The sequence below is a fragment of the Homo sapiens genome, chromosome 13 (genome assembly GCF_000001405.40).
Source record: "Homo sapiens chromosome 13, GRCh38.p14 Primary Assembly".
In the NCBI taxonomy this organism is placed as follows: Eukaryota; Metazoa; Chordata; class Mammalia; order Primates; family Hominidae; genus Homo; species Homo sapiens.
In genome coordinates, this window is record NC_000013.11 from 64,040,087 (window position 1) to 64,061,261 (window position 21,175).

Here is a 21,175-nt window from a genome sequence, read left to right on the forward strand (position 1 = left end):
TTTTCCTTTTAGATTATATTTTTTATTGCTAATCTTTCTTCTTGTCCAGCCATTTATATTCACAGCATGAAGTTAGTGAAAATGATTGGCATCTCTATTCATTTCTTTTTGTATGAACAATTGCAGAAGTCTTGGGACAAGAAAAACCGGTAATAGTTTAGCTCCTATTTTTTTCTTAAAATTTTCTTGAAAATTATATTCTACGTTCATATTGTTAGTAAATGTCATTACTACACCATAACTGTGTATAAAATCCTGTGAGAAATATCAGTAACACATGAAGCTTAGTTTATTTTATAATAATAAAATGAATACTCTGTCAATTAAATACCATGTGATAAGAGTTTTGAAATTTCCCTTTTTCTAATTAAGAAGCCCAGCTTTGAGCAGCTATTGCCATATTTAAAATTTATACTTTGCTTTTTCTTTATCAGACTCCATAATTTTTTCTAAATTTGTTGTAAAACCAAGTAGTAAAGTCATAAATATAAATAGGCCTAAGTTTTTTGGAATTGTCATGTTTCACTGAATCTCTAATTTTCTAAATTTGTAGGAAAGACCACTTATATTTGTCAAATTCAGATACAGTATTTCAGAAAAAATACGATCTTCACCTTCACCCTTTGATATATACCCACTTTATCACTCTTCAGTGAGTACCATATTATACAGTCTTTTTCTTTAACCTAATGAAATGGATAAATTAAAGGATTAGGATTCTTCTTAAATTACCCCTTGTACAAAAAGTAAATCTGCTTTGTATTTTAATTCACCAACTGATCGCATATAATACAAATGTGACTTGTATTCAGATAAATCCATTTAACATAGATACAGAGGTTACTTATAAAATACAGGTAAAGAAAGAATATTTCAAAAGCAAGTTCTTTGGATTCAAACGAATCCTTCAATTATTTAGAGAAAAATGTTAAATTATTGTTATTTTATGTTTATTATATTTGGGATTCAAAATTGGATGAAATAATATTTTGCATTTGCAAATAAAGGGGGTTAAATTTAATGCAAAAATGTCACACTAGATAAATGAGGGTGAACCTAATGAGCTTACAAAATGTAAGAAACTTACAGCCAATAGTATTAAGGGCTTTCCATGTGCCAAAAATTGGGTTCAGTTACTTGCTTTATTGTCTCTTTAAAGAACAGAAAATAAATAATATTAATTTTGGAAACGAGAAAAGCTTAGAAAAAAAGTAGCTTGACCAATCAAGATAACACTGCTTTTGGATGAATCAGTTAGAGCCAGATTCTCAGGTACACTCTATCAGTTATTAAAGAAAGCTCCAATTCATACTCCTGCATTTCTCCCTAGCCAGTTTGGAGTAGAAGCAGGCAAGCAGCTGAGATCACTTTATTCAGAGTGCCAGTAAGAATTACCAGGAAATCTGACTGTGCAGCACAATTCAACAGCTGGAAACTTTCAGTCCAGTTGCCACTGTCATTCTAGATATGTATGCAATTCCGTAAGTTGGGCTTAGGTTTCATTTGGAGCTGCCTTCAATATTTATCGATAATTCTGTAGCATCATTCAAATCAAGGAAAACTCCACCTTGCCTAGTCAAACTCACATTACCTGCTTTTTGAAAAAAGGAGAGAAATTCTCTCTCTTCTGACATTTGTTCTTAAAAAAAAAAATATATATATATATATATATATATATATATATATATCAAGAAACCTCTTTCTTCTTTTTGTTGTTAAATGTGGTTGGTACACATAGTAGAGGGAGGGTATACATTTCATGTTGCATTTGTGCCTAATTTACTAGCTACTATATTAATAACCATTATTAAAAATACTTTTTTGAACATATTACTTGTTTTTACAAATTAACTTACATTATATGGTTAAAAAATGAATTTTCTTAATGTTGTTTGACCTTGTAGGACAACACTTTTTACTGCTCATTGACTACAGGTAATGAATGACTATAAAACATAAACATATATATTTATGCAAAAAATCACAAAAATTAGCAATCACAATTTAATTCTTTAGCCAATAATATCTGTAGATATGTAGATAAAATCTTTATTTAAATTATTTAAATCATCTCCCTTTATCTTAATTTCTGGTTTTCTATAACCATTGGGACTAGAGAAATCATATACATGCTGTCATAAAAATTATAAACTCCATTATACAATCTTATGTAAATTTATCTTAGAATTATATTGATGTAGCTCATTTTACAAAATACCTACAGAATCACACTTGTGCTAGAAAACTAAAATATTAAAAAAGGTTTTGAGTTCTATCTTAAAAAATAACAAAATAGGAAAAGAAAGAATAAAAAGGTGGAAGAATGAGAAAATTATAAACTATCCATAATAAACCTGTATGACAAGTCAGTGGTATATATGCTCTATCACGAGGGAAGAACTCTGAAAAGATCCTCATGGGTTTTCTAAATAATTGAGGGTTATAAGAAGAAAAAACAATGAGTTTTTTCTTACTATCTTTATTAAAATAAAAATGTCTGCATAAAATAAGTAGACTAGCAGTAGTTGATTTTGTTTGAGGTGTGTATGTGTGTGTGTGCGCACGCACATGTGTGTAGGTGTGTGTGGACTCAATTTTAGATTCAGGGATAATTTGAAAGAATATTTAATAAAAGTCTTAAGTCTTTATTAAAAGTTTCTGATTGATAATGCTTAAAATCTGAAGAGCAGATAGGAATAAGGACAAAGTCCTGAAGAGGTGCTTTTCTCATTTTTTCCCTGTTTAATTTTTAATGTTTCAATGTTTTCAATTCTCCATGAGGGAGTCAATTCATGAGTGTCCATTATTTGAAGGATACTCTTATCTATGAGAGGGAGGTGGATCACCTGAGGTCAGGAGTTTGAGACCATCCTGGCTAACATGTTGAAATTCTGTCTCTACTACAAATACAAAAATTAGCTGGTAGTGGTGGCATAAGTTTGTAATCCCAGCTACTTGGGAGCCTGAGGCAGGAGAATCACTTGAATGAGGGAGGCAGAGGTTGCAGTGAGCTGAAATCACGCAACTGCACTCTAGCCTGGCCAACAAGAGCGAAACTCCATCTCAAAAAAAAAAAAAAAAAGAATGCAATAAGAAAATTAAAGTACCCTTGCTTTCAAGCAGTTGACAGTCCAATGTAGAACCCATGCAAGTAAATGGAAAATTATAATACCTTGGTCTTGCGAAGCTACGGTTATAAAGGGGGGCCACAGGAATCCGTAGGGAAAAAAAATCTTTTAATAGTCTTGAAAGATGAGGAAACATTTCTTGGAGACAGTGATATCTGGAAAATAAGCAAGAGTTCTCTACACAAATTTAGCAGGATGAATGCTGAGAAATGGGAAAAGATTCCAGATGGAGGAGTACTATATTAAAGAGTTGACAATTGAACTGTAATTGATTTTCCAAACTTGAGGAAAGAAAAAGAGTTCAATTCCTAATAATAGCTGAGGCAGAAATATAATCAGAGGCTAAGACACAAAAGTTATTTTAAGCCAAATTTTGAAGTTTGGACTTTATGCTGAGGAAAAGGTTTCTCATAACTTAGTCAGATTTGTGTTTTAGAAAAAATAGGCAACAGGCATATTTAATTAGATGATAACAAGACCATAGGCAGAAAGGACTGTAAGAAAGTGCTTTCAAGTAAACTGGGTGAGAAATTGCTGGTGGTTTCAATGAGGGTAATTTAGAAGGCACATGCTGATATTCACAAGAAAGTTATTATCTTTTATCTATCAGATTATACCTTTTAAAATTTCACTTAAGACATAATTGTTTAATACATAGCTATATATTAGGATAGTTTTTCTTTAATTATTTAATACAAAACATTTTAGAATCTTTGAGTAAATATGTTGTACATTGTTGATATGGCATAAAAATTACACTATAGCTGGTGCTATTTAAAAGTGTTCTCTGAAAACCAGCATCATTAGCATCAATTAGGAAATTGTTAGAAATGCAAATTAATGGGACCCACCCCAAAACAAAACTACTGACTCAAAATTCCTGGATTTGGGCCCAAGCTATCAAGGCTATTCTGATGACTACTTGGATTTAGATTACGTAGCCAAGGTCAAACATACTTAAAGACAGAATAAATCTAAGGAGAAAAGTAATGCAAAAGTAATGCATGGCCTTATGTTCAAAAACTACAAAAAATTGTAAAGTAAGAGGGAAATATCAAGTATCGCAATTTTTAATAAAATGAATGCAACTTTGTTGGCATGTTTATTGTATCATTATTTTTAAAAATATCATTTCAAACTGTGTAACATATCTGATAACCCAAATAAAATATAAGTATTTTGTACAGCACATTTAATCTCTATTGACCATGGTGATCTTATTAACTTGTAGAAGCAAGAATGAAAGAATCTCCAGATTCATGTATTTGATCATTTAAAATTCTGAAAAAAAAACATGTTCTGGAAGAAGTATTAAAAATTGCTATGGGTCAAGGCTGGGTGCGGCGGCTCACACCTGTAATCCCAGCACTTTGAGGGCTGAAGGGGGTGGATCATGAGGTCAAGAGCTTGAGACCAGCCTGACCAATATGGTGAAACCCCGTCTCTACTAAAAATACAAAAATTAACCGGGTATGGTGTCTGTAATCCCAGCTACTCAGGAGGCTGAAGCGGAAGAATCACTCGAACCTGGCAGACGGAGGTTGCAGTGAGCTGAGATAGCGTCATTGCTCTTCAGCCTTGGTGACAGTGAGACTCTGTCTCAAGAAAAAAAAAAAAATTGCTGTGGGTCTGATATACAGGATTGCTTGAGGCCAGGAGTTGGAGAGCAACCAACCTGGGCAACATAGGAAGGCCCTGTTTCTTAAAATAAAAATGCCATGTAGGAGATAAGTGTTGCTATAAAAGGCATAAAAATTTACATTGCAATTATTATGGCATTCCTAAAATTGAAAAGTTTAATGAAAGTTTTCCTTCATATTTTTTTCTTATTTGAAATAATTTTTGTCAGTGAAGTAAGTGTAGCAGTGACAACTTTATAAAGACACAAAGAAGACTAGAATAGTAAGAGTGACATATTCAACACGATTTTTCATTAACAGATATATCTTCATTAACTCTCATTATTGTTGGCTGAATTTATGCATGAAAATTCCTACGAACCACTTTAAAAATTGTTAAAGCCTTATTAAATTTGCTTGTGAAGCTTGAAAGTTAAAGGCAATAAAAGTGGGGAGTGAAATAAAAAATGCAATAGTAGAGTCTAATTCAGATTATTCTATGTAAAAAGTAAAACTATTAAGCCATCAAAGATTAAAAACCTAGTCATAGAAGATGATGCCTGGTATTGGCATCAGTTGCAAATATTGACCAGATTAAACAGGTAATTGTAAAATCTCTATGCAAACATACAGTCATAATTATAGCACTTGTACTGACATACTCCAATTATATGCTGAAATTTTTGATTTAACACATTTAGAAGAATCTTTTTACAGAAAAATAAAATTTCTCACCTTATAGTCTATAAAAATTACAAAATTGTTTGTTGAATGATGCCTGCTTGCTAATTTACTTAATAGAAAACTTTCATCCATATAAGAATATTTGGAAATAATCTCAATGTGATAAATGGCTTCTATGAACAACCAATAGCCGATATGGTACTTATTGGTGGAATACTGAATGTTTCTCCCTAAGATCTGGAACATGGATGCCCAATCCCATCCCTCCTTGTCAATATCTTACTGAAAGTTTCCTAGATTGTACAAGGAAAATAAACAAGAGGAATTGAGATTATAAATAAAAATAAAATTCAAAAGTAGTCAAATATTTCAAAGTGAGACAAGCAAAGATAAACAGCATAACAAAAACACAGATTGTACAAATAAAAAATAAATACTGACATAAAAAACCTAAATTTCAACAAAATTAAAGTTACATTTCCAAAATTTCTAACATATTGAAAAGAGTTTCATCAAAATAAAAATGTATTCATTGACTAAATTATGTATGGACACAATGAAGTTCCATGCAGCTGTGTAGTTCTATACAGTTGACCCTTGAACAACTCAGGCATTGGGCCACCAACCCTTGTACAGTCAAAAATCCACATATAACTTTTGAGTCCCCCAAAACTGATAAAATGGACAATTAATACATATTTTTTAGTTACATGTGTCATGTACTATATTCTTACAATAAAGGAAGCTAGAGAAAAGATCATTTTCATGTTATTAAGAAAATCATAAGGAAAAGGAAATATATGTACTATTCATTAAGTAGAAGTGAATTATCATAAAGATCTCCATCCTTCTTTTCTTCATGTTGTTTAGGCTGAGGAGGAAGAAAAAGAGGAGTTTGTCTTGCTGTCTTGGGGGTGACAGAGGCAGAAAAAAATTTGCAGGTAAGTGGATCCTTGCAATGCAATAATGTGTTGTTAAAAAGTCAGCTGTAGTACTACACTGTTCATCTACTCCACTATCTTACCTTTCATTGGCTATAAACATTTTGAAAAATTCTAAATAAAATACCCTAGGTGAGTCGTTAATGTTAACACAGAAAATCCTAGAGGATTTAAAGTGATTAGGAGCAGTATAAATTGCCTTTTAGAATTTAATTAAAGAAATTTCTCAATATTTAAACAAAATCTTAGTGAAATGTGTTCACATCTCACAAAACTCATTACTTACACAAAATTATGTTCTTATTCAAAATGCAATGAGATTATGCCTCCTTGGTGTTTGCAATTTAGTTAAAAACAAAAGAAATTTCCACTTTGCTCATATCTTTCCATGTCTTTTTAAGCAATATTTATCATTTTTTCTTTTACACATATTTATTTTTATTTACTTTTTATTGTATATATTTAGAATGTGCAGTATGATGTTTTAATATAGATATAAATAGTGAAATGATAACTATATTTTGGTAAGCCAATAAATATGTCCATCACTTTCCACAGTTTCGTGTGTGTGTGTGTGTGTGTGTGTGTGTGTGTGTGTGTGTGTGTGTGTATTAAGAGCACCAAAACTTACTCTCTCGGCACATTTTCTATATACAATACAACATAATTAACTATAGTTCTCCTGCCATACATAAGATCTCCAGATTATTTATCTTATGTAATTGTAAGTTTGCACCCTTTGAACTACTTCTTCCTATTTCCCTCCCCTCCCCACCCTGGTAGCCGCCATTCTACTTTGTTTTTATATAGTCAATTTTTTTCTTTAGATTCCATATGCAAGTGAGATCATGTAGTATTTTTCTTCTGTGTCACTTCTTTTTTATGCATAGACTTTTTCAGTTCACAGTTCTTCCCTTTTTGCTTTGAATTGCATGCTTTCCATGATTCTTGCCACTCTTTGAGGCAAAACACCATTTGGTAACATTACAATAACAAAGAAGTGCCATACATTTTTTTAAATGACCATACTATCTTAAATATTTCAGCACAAGAAACATCATAGTAGGTCTTTGTTTAAGGAAAAACTCTCTCAAACCATGTTTTTCCTCTGCTCTCACACCAAAGCAAAAACAATCATCAACACAGAGGAAGACTTCTGTAACCAAACATGTAGTGGTTTTTCCCAGACACCAAGCAGCGGACACAGGCTGGGTGTCCTCCAATTCAATTCTGGCACTGCCTGGAGATAGAGTCAAAGGTTAAGGGCTCAGTCTTCTTAACCTGACAACAATCGAAAGTCAGGGCCTCAGGAACTTGTGACAGACTGGCTTCAAGTTGGGGTTTCCATGAGTCCCTCAGTGGGTTTGATTAATTTGCTGGAATGGCTTACAGAACTCAGGGAAACACTTAAGTTTACTGGTTTATTACAAAGGATATTGCAAAGTATACAGATGAAGAAATGCATAGGGTGAGGTATGCTGGAAGAGATGTGCCCTCCTTCAGGAGGCTCCACATGTTTAGCTCTCCAGATGCTCTCCAGAAGACTCTATCTAAGATTATGAACCACAATCAGAAAGTCTTGTAAAGATTAGAGTCCTTCCTTGGAGTAGGTGAAAGAAGGGCAGGAGAAGGCCAGAGAGATTCTGTTTTCTGAGGCCTTCTCCTGAGGCCTGTCATACCCATATTATAACAAAATATTGTAACAAGAGGTGTGGGAGTTATGAGCCAGGAACTAAGAATGAAAGCTTACATATATAAACCACACTCTCCAACCAGATAACTATATAATTGGATCGATGTAAATTATTCACACCTTACTATTTATTAAAATGCATTCACTTGTGTACCTTTTACATGACAGTATTATTATCTGGAGAGCATAAAAGTAAGAATAAAGATTTAAATTTTATTTTCACAGCAATTTAGAATTATTACCTGTATAAGTGTAATATCGAATATCAATAATTTGTGTTTTAGGATTTTATAGCACACATAAACTTTTTGCTTTTTATTATAATATCTTCCTCATTCTAATCTCTGCCTTTGAACTGTGGAATTATGTTAACAAGTTCTCTTCCTGAGCTTTCCAAAAGAAGTAGAGAGTTTCATATAATGGTCTAACACACTTATTTAATAAAAGTAGAAACTGCATTTTTTGAGACTTTTAATGCTTGTCTTTGTAATATAGATTTCCAAGTAGACAAATATATTATGGATACTTGCTTTTATGTAGAGAGATAGGTTGAAGCCTCAATTTTGTTCATTCAGTATGGCAACATGGCATAAGCTGGGTATTTTTATAACTTAAATTAGTCCAAATAAATATTGTATTCATATGTAAGCATTAACGTCTAAGAGTGATAAAGATGCCTGCCTATTCTCACCCTTTCCCCTTTGTGATCACAGCACTTTAATTGCCACTGAGGATTGAGAGGAGTTCTGTGTGTTCACAGACATTGACAGCTCTATAATGAAGATATGTTAATAATAAAATGGCAAGGCTTTCAGGGCTGTATATATTATGAAAAGGTTAATGAGTAGTGCTACCCACAGCGCCCTGTTTAGCTGACTTTGAAATTTTATTGATGAGAAAACTTTTGAGTTTTTCCTCCTGAAGAATATGTTGGCCGATGATTCTTATTAACTTCACGAGGGAATGCACACATTTGCGTCTTTTTTTTGTTAATCCAAATTGCATTAGTCTGCTAGCACTGCCATAACCAAATACCACAGACTGGGTGGCTTAAACAACAGAGCTTTATTTTCTTACAGTTTTTGAGGCTAGACCTTATGAAATAAAGGTGCCAACATGGTTAGGTCCTGGTGAGAACTCTCTGCATTGCAAAAAGTCACCTTTTTTTATTGTTTGCTCACATGATTCACATGTGCATGGAAAGAGAGAAAGCTCTCTGATGTCTCTTCCTACAAGGGCACCAGTCTCACCATGGGGACCCCATCATTGTGACCTCATGTAACTCTACTTTCTAAATTATTATCTCCAAATACCACTGTGTTGGGAGGTAGAGCTTCAATACATGAACTTATTTAGGGGGCAGGGCTACAAGCATTCAGTCCATAGTGCAAATAATTTTTAAATTGTGGAAATAAGAATTATGATTTCAAAATATTTATATTTTCTAGTGGCTAACCTACTTGTTGTTAGATTAAAAAAAAAGAAAAAGAAAAAAAGAAAAAAAAACTTAGAGGCCAAGGAAAAGCTTCCCCTTTGCTCTCTGAAGTTTTGCTGAAAAGTCAACTCACAAAAAGAGATCAACAGGACAAGTGACATAGAAATGTATTAACATGCACACAGGGCCAAAACGTAGAGTGTTTTCCCCCACCACCTAACGGGGTCTAGAAGTTTATAGACCATTCTGAGGTTACAGGAAGAATGGGGGCTTAGAGTGTGGCAAAACAGGTTCTGCTGGGAGGGGGAAAAGTGGAGACCTGGCTAGTAAAGGTGGTCTTGTTACATAGGTGAAACTTCACAAGTAGCAGCCCTCAGAGAGAATACATATGTCTCTTTCACACATTTAAAGGTGTCAGACTCTAGATTAATCTTTTCTAGATCAGGACAAGGGAGGGCCTCAGATAAAGCCTAGCTGCATCAATGCAGATTTTTTCTACTGATAGAAATCTTCCCCACAAAAGACTACTTTAAGTGGCTACTTAGGTTTGCAGGCTCTCTGAACAGCCATCTCAAAATATGCCAAGGTGTATCTGGGAGTGATACATTCTGTTTTCGGGGTTTTTTTTTTCAAAAACTAGGGGAGAATTTTTGCTATTCTTGCTATATTCTGTTGTATTTTTTTTCTTCTTCCCCTTATATAAAGGCTGAAAAGCAATGACTAATAAAGATAATGTTAATAAAACAATAATAAAAATAAAAATTTGTATTCTTGGTCACAGCAACAGAAATAGGCTCTGGCTATTTTAAGCAAAAGTTTTATGTATTGGATGTATATTGAGGGACCACGAATTGATTGTAGGCTGGAACTGCACAAAAATGAAACTATCAGAACACTTAACAACAGGAAAATGTTCCCAGAAAATTTCTAGAATTTCTAACTTCACTAAACATTGTTGCTATTGCCAGTATCAACAAATTTAGACTTTATTTTTATTCTTGCACCAAAATTTCTAGATTCAAACTTTCAGATCTGAGAATTTGATTGACTTAGCTTCACCACTTCAAGCTTCTGATTTAGGAGCTAAGTTATTACCGTCCACAATATGGGATTGGAATCTATTGAGAAAGAGGTTGTTTTAAGCCAAATAGCAAAAGTGGCAAGTGATCACTATATTTTATTACTTTTGCTGCTCAAAACCAAAATTCTCTTTTCTGTCCATTTTTATATGTCTAAGTAATATAATAATATATCTATCCTTGTGAAGATATTATTTTACCTAACAGAAAAGAACATTAAATATTATCCATACTCATCTAGTTCTAATTAGAAGAACTTTGGGTAGCATTCTGAAGATTCATTGTTAAGAAATTGAGATGTTTTAGCAGTTTAAATTTTACCAAAGTAAATGGAAAATACAAAGAGTTTTGTCTATACTCTGTCATCTCCATGCCTCCCACACCCAGTTAACCTTATTCTTAATATTTTGCATTAGAGTGGTATATTTGTTACAATTGGTAAGTTGATATTGGTACAATATCATGAACTAAAGTAGATGGTAACATTATGACTCATTCTTTCTACAATACATTCTATGGGTTTTGACAAATGTATATATCAGTATCATATACAATAGTTTCACAGCCTTACAAATTCCCTGTGCTCCAGTCATTCATCTCGCCCTGTTTCTCCCCAAATCTGTTAAAATCACTGATTAATTTTCACTACTCCCACAATGTTGTCTTTTTCAGAATGTGACACATTTGAAATCATACAGCAGATAGCACTTTCAGATTGGTTTCTTTCACTTAGCAATATGAATTTAAGCTTTCTTCATGCCTTTTCAAGACACAATAGCTCATTTATTTTTATTGCTGAATAATATTCCATTGTATGGATGTACCACAATTTCTTATCCATTCCATATTGAAAGACATCTTGATTGCTTTCAAGTTTTGGCAATTATGAATAAAGTTGCTATAGATATTCAGGTTTATGTTTGTACATGTTTTCAACTCATTTGGGTAAATACCAAGGAGCATGAATGCTAGTTCATATAGTAAGAGTATGTTTAGTTTTGTAGGAAATTTCCAAATTGTTGTCCAAAGTGGCTGTACAATTTTGCATTCTGACCTGTAACAAAGAAGTATTCCTGTTGTTCTACATCCAAATCAGCACTGGGTATTATCAGCGTTTTGGATTCTACCTTTTCTAATAAATGTGTAGTGATATCCCATGGTTGTTTTAATTTGCAATTCCCTAATGAAATTGTATTATCTTTTTATATGCTTATTTGAAGATTTGTTTTTATCATTTCACTTATAACTAAATTGTGCTAATCTGCAAATTATGAAGTCAATGTTAAAGTTGTCCATGATAAACACTGTATGTATAATTGTTCCAAAACAAGGAGGAAATATTACAAAGCTGGAAATATAATTAACTCCACTATTTTTCTTCTACCAACTCCTCATGTTTACATATCAGCATTTATTTATTTATTATTATTATTTATTACGGCCCCTGAAAATTTACTCACATAATTGGGATTCCTTACCCAGTGGGTAATTCAAACCCTTATTTTAATGGTTGTGTTTTTTATTGTTATCCCTTTTGAAGGATATATTATCTGTTGTGATATTTAGAACTAAAAATGGGAATATGAGGAAGAAAATGAGACCTGGTGTTGCAGGACTTTTCCTTAGTTCAGCTAAAGACAGGGTTCTTGCCCATCCCATGGCCATGAAAATTTAAGCTCTCAGATAGCTTAAAGGGTGAGTAAAGCAGGATTTTATTGGGTGAAAAGAGAAAAAAAGGGGGGAACAGGGACTCTCGCAAGGCCAGAGTCCCTCCACTAGAGCACTTCCCACTGGGCAGTTTGAATCCTAGTTTCCACCCAGGAAGAGGGGCCAGGGTCCTCCCTGCTGCAAACATCATGAACTTCCCGAGGCTCTACTCCAGTGAGCAGGCTGACTGGAGCTTCTTCAGGGACCCCCTCCTACCTGGCTGTCTCCTTCCCCCATCTAAAGAAGTACATCTAACTGCTCTTAGATTAAGGATAAGGGCCAAGACCTATCTTAGCTGCTTCCTGCTGATAGGGGCTGCTGTTTTGAGGAAACAGCAGTCAGAACTCCCTCAGGGGCCTATCTAAGGGTTCCCAGCAGATGGGGCCATTGTCAGAGGCTCTGATTGCATGACTGTTTGGAGTTTGATGGCCTGAAGGCAAGAACAGACACAGGGTTACTACAAAACTTGTATCAAAATGAAACAAAGGGAGAGGTAAGGACAGCTCAAAAATTCTGAGGTCTTTTACCAGTTTGTACAGGGAGAAGGAGGCCAAAAGCCCGACTAGCAAAAAGGAAACTTTACCCTTTTGCTGGCATGTTGGGCTTCTGGGTTCCCTTCCCTGGAGCCCAGTCCTAAGTCAACCAGTTTAAGATTTGGGAAATTAACTCCTTCCAGTTTGGAGGATGCATCTGAGGGGAGTGTCCTGTAGTACAAAGACACAATTACCTATCGGTGAAGAGAGAACTGAGGAGAAGAAAGGAAAAAGCAAGCATTTTTTAAAGGAGTCCAAAGGGTTTAGGATACATTCGAAAGGGGTACAGACTGAAGATGATGGCTACCCATCTAGCAAGAGGTAAGCAGGTGTCCCTGGTTCCCTTCTCTTCCTAGCAGATACCGGGGTACATGAGGGAGAGAGAGAAGAGCATCCTCTTCCCCTCTTCCATCCTTGTATTCCCCAGTTTCGGCAACCTCAGCAGGTGCCACCATGCGCGTCAAAGTGGCTTGCACCCATGAAGCAGGGATAGCCTAGAGAATATGAATTATTTGCTCTCACCTCTGTCTCTTTCCCACCTACTGTCAGTGGCCTTCAAGTTTCCTAGACCTCATTTATGCCATGGATATTAAGGTGACCTTTATCCATGAAACAGGAAGCTTGGGGTTGGCTTAATTGGCAGTAATCAGCCACACTGGCCTACACTGTGCCTTTTAACCTCTGTTGCTGTCTTCCTCTGGATCCCTTGGATCCATTTTTCTTTCTAGGGCTTTGATCCAAGGCTTGGAATTGAGTCTGGGACAAAAAATGTATCTCAGGGGGTTTGCATGGACTCCTTATTATAAGCTGAATGCTAAGGTGAAACTGTGGAACTGAACCCTCCTCCAACAAGGGAGAGGAAAGGATGTCTTGTGACTACACCCAGATAAGTGGTGGCTATAGTCATGCTTGCTACGATTTGGGTGCATGGTGCTTGGCTTTGGTTAGCTCCCTTGGTCTTACTTTCCCAACAGTAAAACTCTGAATGATAGGCATCCTATTGATTCCCATCACCTGGGAAGAATTTGCAGGATAATTGCTTGGAACCAGAATATTAATCCAGATTTTTACATTACCCATCTCTCATGTTTTTGTTGAGATGCAGCCACAGATTGCTGATTGGTTAACAGTAACAAGCAGGGTTAGTCTAAAACCAGGTGAAAAATTAAAACAACTAATGAGTTTAGAACTTAATGACAGATATATGATAAGTTTTGAAACATAATTTCTCTCTCCCCAGTGCTCAGTTTTGTTAAAAAAAAAAATCATCATTGGACTGAGTGGGTTGCAAAATGGACTTTAGTCTTATAATTGGCCAGATTATTTGCATAAAGTACACCATGAATAATTTTTTCTCCATAGGCCTTTTATATTGGCTTTGATGGAAGACTGTTGCACAAGGAATCTCAAATAAGACCTTTTAAAGCCAAGCCCAACCATGGGTTTCTATCCTCAAACACCTGTGAGTTGGGTGACTCTCCCCTTCTCTCCTCTTAAGGTCCCAAGATAAACTTGGATCCCTTAAGCCTGTTAGAAAGTGACATTTTTTACTAACCACAGGTCAGGAACCCTGTACAGGAACTGCATACATGAGGGTGTGAGGCCAGTTTCCCCCGTGGGGCTTTTACTGGCTCTGCAAGTTCAGATTAACTCCTTAAAAAAAAGCATATCCTTCCTGTCAAAGCCTTGGTAAAACAACCACTTTCTTCAATTGTGTTCTGTTGCAAAAGAAAAATGGATTCTTACTGTACTGATGCAAACAACTATATTGCCATGAGAATACTCACAGATAGTTTCTAAATTTTAGAGGAACCAGGCAGAGAGAAACAAACATGCTTCAAATTTTGATCATAGGGAGTATATCTTACTCAATTATTAAAGTCTGTAAATAGTTCAAAGTAAGTTTCCTTGACTCTGAAAAACAAAACAAAGATCAGCAATATTCCAAGCAAAAGTCAAAAAGATTTGCTTCAGCTTTCTGAGTTCAGTCCACTTAATTAACTCTTTTTTTGCTTGATATTCATGAAATTTTCTGCTCTTCATGAGTCCTGTACATTTTCCTTTATTACAATGTTACAATCTCTAAAGTTGGCACAAATCTGTATTTGAGAGTACCTGTCATATATATGTGTGTACATGTACTTTTTCAAAATTTAAAAATTTATACTCTGGTTGATAAAAATATAGACATAAGAAGAGATAAATTGAAATAAGTTTTTTCACTCAGAATTTTTAAATATACATTCTGAGAGGTTTTTTTTTACTGAAAAGAAAAATAAAATTTTCACTTATAACACTTGGTATATTTTTCAAAATTAAGATTTGAGAAAGTAAGAATTTTGTTAATTTGCTCAATAGAGAAACAAGATATATTGATAAATAAATGAGTGAATAAATACATAATTCAGATTCAACATATAGTCATTTACATGATTAGTGTTATTAGAAAAAATTGTTAGCAAATGTGTGGAACATTTTGGTGGTGAGGTTGCTAGCAGAAAAAGTAATATTTTACCTATAAAGCTCAGAACTGAAACTATTAATAATTTTAAATAATCACTTTTAGATTTGACAGGTAGGTGGCATGTGAATACAGTGGATAGCTAAAATATAGCCCAAATCTAAGGTAGTTAAAATTGCAACCAGTCTCTGGTTTCACAGTGAAATTTAAAAATTCTATATTCTCAGCCCCAGGGACATGTTAAATACCTATAAAATGATGGTAAATGTCAAATTGTCCAATATAACAAAATAGAAAAATCTTCTGAAATCACACCAAGACAATATAAAGCAGGTTTCAGGCAACACATCCTGATGTATGCTTAATGTTTTGTAAAACCTGAAAGAAAAACTAGGAAATGAACCATCAGGACAACTTGCCAGCTCAGAGCTATTTACACCACAAACCTCAAAAGACAGGGCCAACGAAGAGTAACTCTGAGGCTATGTAGATTCACAGCAAATGGTGAATTATTATTGACATAAAACCACTGTATACATGCTTTCTCCTTGTAATAGCAACAAAGTAATCACTTCAAGCAACAATGTTGATATAATTGCTTATTGAGAATTATCTTTGTGATTGGTGATTTACATAAGTTGTTATATTTATTTAGCCCATACTCAACAGTAAAAAAAAAAGCATATCATGATTGAAGGCCAGGGAGGATGCAGAATATACTCCGGAAACTTGCACGCATGGGGCACCCACATACTCCCTCTACTGCAGGCATTATGTAGACCTTCTGCCTACTACCAGATGTTGGAAATGAATGCAGGTAGAGAAGATACAGGCCTGATAGACACTGTTCTATAATGATCCATGATCTTTTTTTAATGTTATTGCTTTGGTTTTTTTTTCAAATTATCCTGGTGCAATTAAACCAGGGAAGAGTGATTTTTCCCATCAGACTCTATTCAACAATAATTTAATCAGAATGTTTTAGATTAATATTCTCATTATCTAGAGAAACTATTTTCTTTGTCCCAGATAAAAGGCAGTGAAAGAGTATTGATCTCAGGATGTCATCCAAGCAGAAATGGGCTAAGTTCTTCTCTGTGTTCCAATTACAAACCTAAGCTGGCTGCTAGAGTGCTCCATATCATTTCCTATCCTGCTTGTCCTGACGTAAGCACCTCTCTGGAACATCATGTTGCATAGAAATAAGTGGGTTTTGTTTTCCTGTTTATCTGTTGGTTTAATTTCTCATATGAAGTTATCATAAACATCAGTCTATTCATTATTCACCTACCATCATATTTTCTAAGGATGAAGCTTGATAAGAATAGATAGATAGATAGATAGATAGATAGATAGATAGATAGACAGACAGACTGTTCTGTTCCCAGCATTGACAGAATCAGGATCAGACTAGTCATCCCAATATTAAAAAACCTTAACACTTATTGACCTGAAGAAAGAAACTAAGGCAAAATTAATATAAGTAAAGAGTTTATTTGGGACAAATTTGAGGACTGCAACATGGGAGACACAGGTTGATGTTATGCTCTGATTAACAGCAATTGCTAGTAGGTTTTAAATGAAAAAAGAAAGGACAGTTCCTAAATCAAACATAAACTATCAATTGGCTATACATCATTCTTTGTATTGCAAATTCCAGGAACATAAACATAATGGGTAAGACTCACATTGTACAACCTATGATGGAATTTTAAATAATTTATCAGTTAGTCTAGAAACTCTGAGTAAGGGAAGAAATGTCTTTAAATAATTGCCCCAATTTCCCCAAGGGCATGAGTTGGGGGTAGGCGGTGAAGACTCCTTCTCTTGTTTTCTGGGCCTGAGAAATGTTGTATACCTCACATTTTTCAGACCGCTCTCAGCTACTTTTCTTTATCATAGTGTATGAAATACATAAGTTAATTCATTTTAAGCCTTGTAGAGGAGATAACCTCGAAGATTTTGGTCCTTAGGGATTAAAAATTCATAAATCAAGGCCCATGGTCATACCAGGTCTCCCTGGACACAGCTTCCTGACCACAGTGCAGTGAGCTGGAAACTAATGAGAGCATGACAGTACCACCAAGCTAAAAAAAGCAGTTATCAGTGACTGGGGAAGCTGAAGTAACCAGACTGCATGGGGCAGGTCACCAGAGAGAAATCAGCCCCATGGGGGTGGAAACAATCTACCTAGAAGTTAACCATGAGACCTTGACCTAAGACTGGGCTTCCAATATGGAGAACAAGAGTACAAAAGGTTTATCAGACAGCAGCTGCTAGAAATTTGAGAGGAAAACAAAGATAACTGAGATTAAGCAATGCTGGCAAATATTTAAGATCTGTCACTACTCAAGTACGCAAATTTGTAACATTTTTGTCACTCCAGTACTGAAACTGAGATGCAGCATGTAGCACCTTCTTCTCTAGACCTGCCCTAAGGAAGTCTAAATACAAGTTTTGAGAAGAACTGATGGGCACACAGTTTGGAAGTTGACAGTCTCACCATGTTACAGGGTCATGGAAAACATCATGAGCTTTATAGACACGTCTGCCCTATTTTTGTAAACCAAATCTACTCAAGTTCATAGTGATTAAAAGTAGATGACACATCTAACACTTTCTAGATGAATGTAACAGAGCACAGAGTTTCTACATATATTATTAGTAATGTTTAGTATACAAACAATCATTCTATTCATGTAAATTAATATAAATATGTGACCCAGTCTCATGAACAATGCAAAGTCAGAGATAACCAGGTCAACACATTTGTGTCTTTCCACAATGTTGGACTTTTACTGATGCTATTTCCATCATAAAAGCCACATGCTATTTGGAGTTCCCAAGGAGGCAATTCCCCTTAGTACTTCCCATTCACTTGGTACTCAGAGCCAAGGGTGCATAAGCCCAAGCCTTTCCACAAGTCAATCAATATTGCAAACCATACATAATAGTACATTTAATTAATATGTAAATGTTATAGATTATTCTACAAACAAACAAAGTTACATTTAACATCAAGGGAAGAACAGACAGAAAGATGGGTTAACAAATCAGACCAGAGAGAGTGATGAAGAGAAAAAAAAATGTCCTGGTCTAGGCCAGGCAGTCCCTGGGTCTTGCATGGAAGAGACTTTGATGTGGGCAGAGCCTTCAGTGGCAGATGTTGGTGCTGTTGAAGCCCTATTATCTTTATGGTCACAGAGTCCTCTGATGAGGACTGATAGTAGAAAAATGTGCTTGTTTATGTCCTTATCTGGTTGGATGCACTCTTTTTAATTATTTTATTAAGCAAAACACTTTATTCTTCTTGGCAAAGTACCCTATGAAGTAAAAGATGGAGTCTCTTTCTAAGGTGGGTTACTTATGTAACAGGTGCTCTATATACCCAGACTCGAATCAATCAGTCAGTCTATAAAAAACTGCCCCCAAAATGGTTAATTGTTTCCTTTAGGAAACAAAGATGTTAAATAAGTAATTATAAACATGTTAAAATAAATAAAGGGAGTATATCATAATGACTGGATAGAATCTTAGCAGATAAATGGGAAGAACAGGAAAAGAAAAAATCTGTGACCTTAAATAATGGTGAGTAGACATTTTCCTATATGTAAAGCAGAATGGGGTGAAAAAGGTTGAGGAAAAATGAATGGAGGTTTAGGAAGCTATGGGCCAATTAAACAGTCTAAATAAAGGTAATAAGAGGATGTATCTGAAGGAGGACAGAATAAAGATAGAAACATACAGACAAAACATTGAATATGTTAATGGCTGAGAAATACCAAGTTTGATCAAACTCTCCAATTATATATCTAATAACTTCAGAAAAACCTGAACAAGATAAATACAAAGTCAATCACAGTTTGTCACATCATGATCAAACAGGCAAAAATGAAGAGAAAATCTCAAAAATGTGAAAAGAGAAATGACGCATTTTATGCAGTGTATTAAAGATAAGAACGACAGCTGACCATATTAGAAACAATTGGGGTCAGAATATAGTACAGAAGATAACAGTTAACAGAAAAGAAAGCCAGTCCCTCAATTTTCGACATTCAGTATAAGAATATCCTTCAAAATACATGTTCAGGGGCCGGGCTCAAGGAGGGTGTCTCATGCCTGTAATCCCAGCACTTTGGGAGGCCAAGGCGGTGGATCATTTGAGGTCAGGAATTCAAGACCAGCCTGGCCAACATGATGAAACCCCATCTCTACTAAAAACACAAAAATTAGCTGGGTGGTAGTGGTGTGGACCTGTAATCCCAGCTACTTGAGAGGCTGAGGCAGGAGAACCGCTTGAGGTGGAGGTTGTGGTGAGCCGAGATCGTGCCACTACACTCCAGTTTGAGTGACAGAGTGAGACCCTGTCTAAATATATATATGTGTGTATATATATACGTATATATTTATATATACGTGTGTGTGTATATATATATATATATACACACACACACACACACATGCAACTGAAAGCTTAAGAAATTTGCACCAGGAGAACTACACTATAAAAATGCTTGTATGAATTTTATGCTGAAGAAAAATGATACTAAAGAGAAACTAAAATTTGTAGAACTGAACAAAAGAACATTAGAAATAAGTCAGTATATGTATAGAAGATCTTAATATTTTTTAAGATTAAATCAAGGGATACATGTAAAATAAAATGGTATGATGGGTTTTCACGTTTTAAAGCTATCAGGAAATACCTCACTGCTAAGAAACATTTTATTATAGGTCTAAAGTAAGTGAAGAAAAGTGTAATGAAGAACCAGACAGAAGATATCAGAGAGAAGAATTTTTTAACCAAAAGATAAGCAAAGACCTGAGGCAAAATCATGTTTGAGATATTCAAGGATCAATAAAAAGTTGATGTAGCTGGTACAGATGAAGGAAGAAGAGAGTTGTGCAAGATGAGTACCATATCATGTTCTAGAATATGATGAAAATTTGGCTTTTATTCTAAGTGTGATGAGGAGCTACTTCAAGTTTTGTACCATGAAGGGACATAGTATATTTGATATTTTAAAGGAATCGGTCTGGTTGCTGCAATGAGAATAGGATGTAGATAACCAGAGCAGTAGAGTGCTGGAAGTAGAGAACAGATGCAATGTTATCAAAATCTGAATATATTTTCAAGGAGAAGCCAACAGGAATTACAAATGAATTTGACACGAAGAGGAAAAGGATGAGAGAAAACAAGGATAACTTCAAAATTTTTTCCTTGGCAATTGTTAAATGCATTTGCTACTTCCTAAGGAGTCTGTAGGATGAAGACTTTGGGGGGTGTTTTGTTAGCATGCAGCAGAAAACAGATGGCATACTCAACTTGGGTAATTTGAAGAGAGTTTAATAAAGGAGTGAGATTATTTACCAAGTCTAGGAAAATCAAGAAAGATTTGTACAATACTCTGTGGGCTAATAACTGTGATTAGGGGGGTGATTAGCATTATAAACCCTAAGTCTGAAGAGACAAAGAGAAGGAGCGGTCAACACAAATGACAGGGAAGACATCCCTAAGTAGAACTGTCTGAAGAAAGCTGTGTTCTTCAATAAAGTGAACCAGCACATGCTGATCTTAGCAGGAGGGCTCCAAGGGAATAAATGTCCCAATCATAATCTCCTCTTACTCTCTAGACTTCATTCTTGTGCCTCTCATTATGCAAATTCAACTAAAAGCAGGAGGCAAAGGAAACTGTTGATTCTGTTAATATGGAATAAATTTTCTATGGTACAAAGCAAAAAGGAAAAATTGTGGAAAATGTATCCAAAGGAGTAAATTGAAGATATGCAACACAGGGGGAATATCAAGTTTGTTAGGTTTCTCCAGAACAGAACCAATAAGGGAGATACACACACACACACACACACACACACACACACACTTACTTTTATTTA

At 34.9% G+C, this 21,175-nt stretch overlaps 1 long non-coding RNA gene across 1 annotated transcript in view, besides 1 other annotated feature; it reads right to left on the bottom strand.

Moving 5' to 3' along the window:
• The window catches only part of LINC00355 (long intergenic non-protein coding RNA 355), an 89,641-nt gene that overhangs the window by 53,716 nt on the left and 14,750 nt on the right, over positions 1–21,175 (bottom strand). The gene's annotated exons all lie outside the window — the stretch shown is intronic.
• Positions 14,270–14,564: a silencer, noted in NCBI's record as "tiled region #7190; K562 Repressive DNase unmatched - State 9:DNaseU". NCBI's record gives its function as "represses a minimal TATA promoter and a strong SV40 promoter by Sharpr-MPRA in K562 cells {active_cell/tissue: K562}" and the evidence as "EXISTENCE:reporter gene assay evidence [ECO:0000049][PMID:27701403]".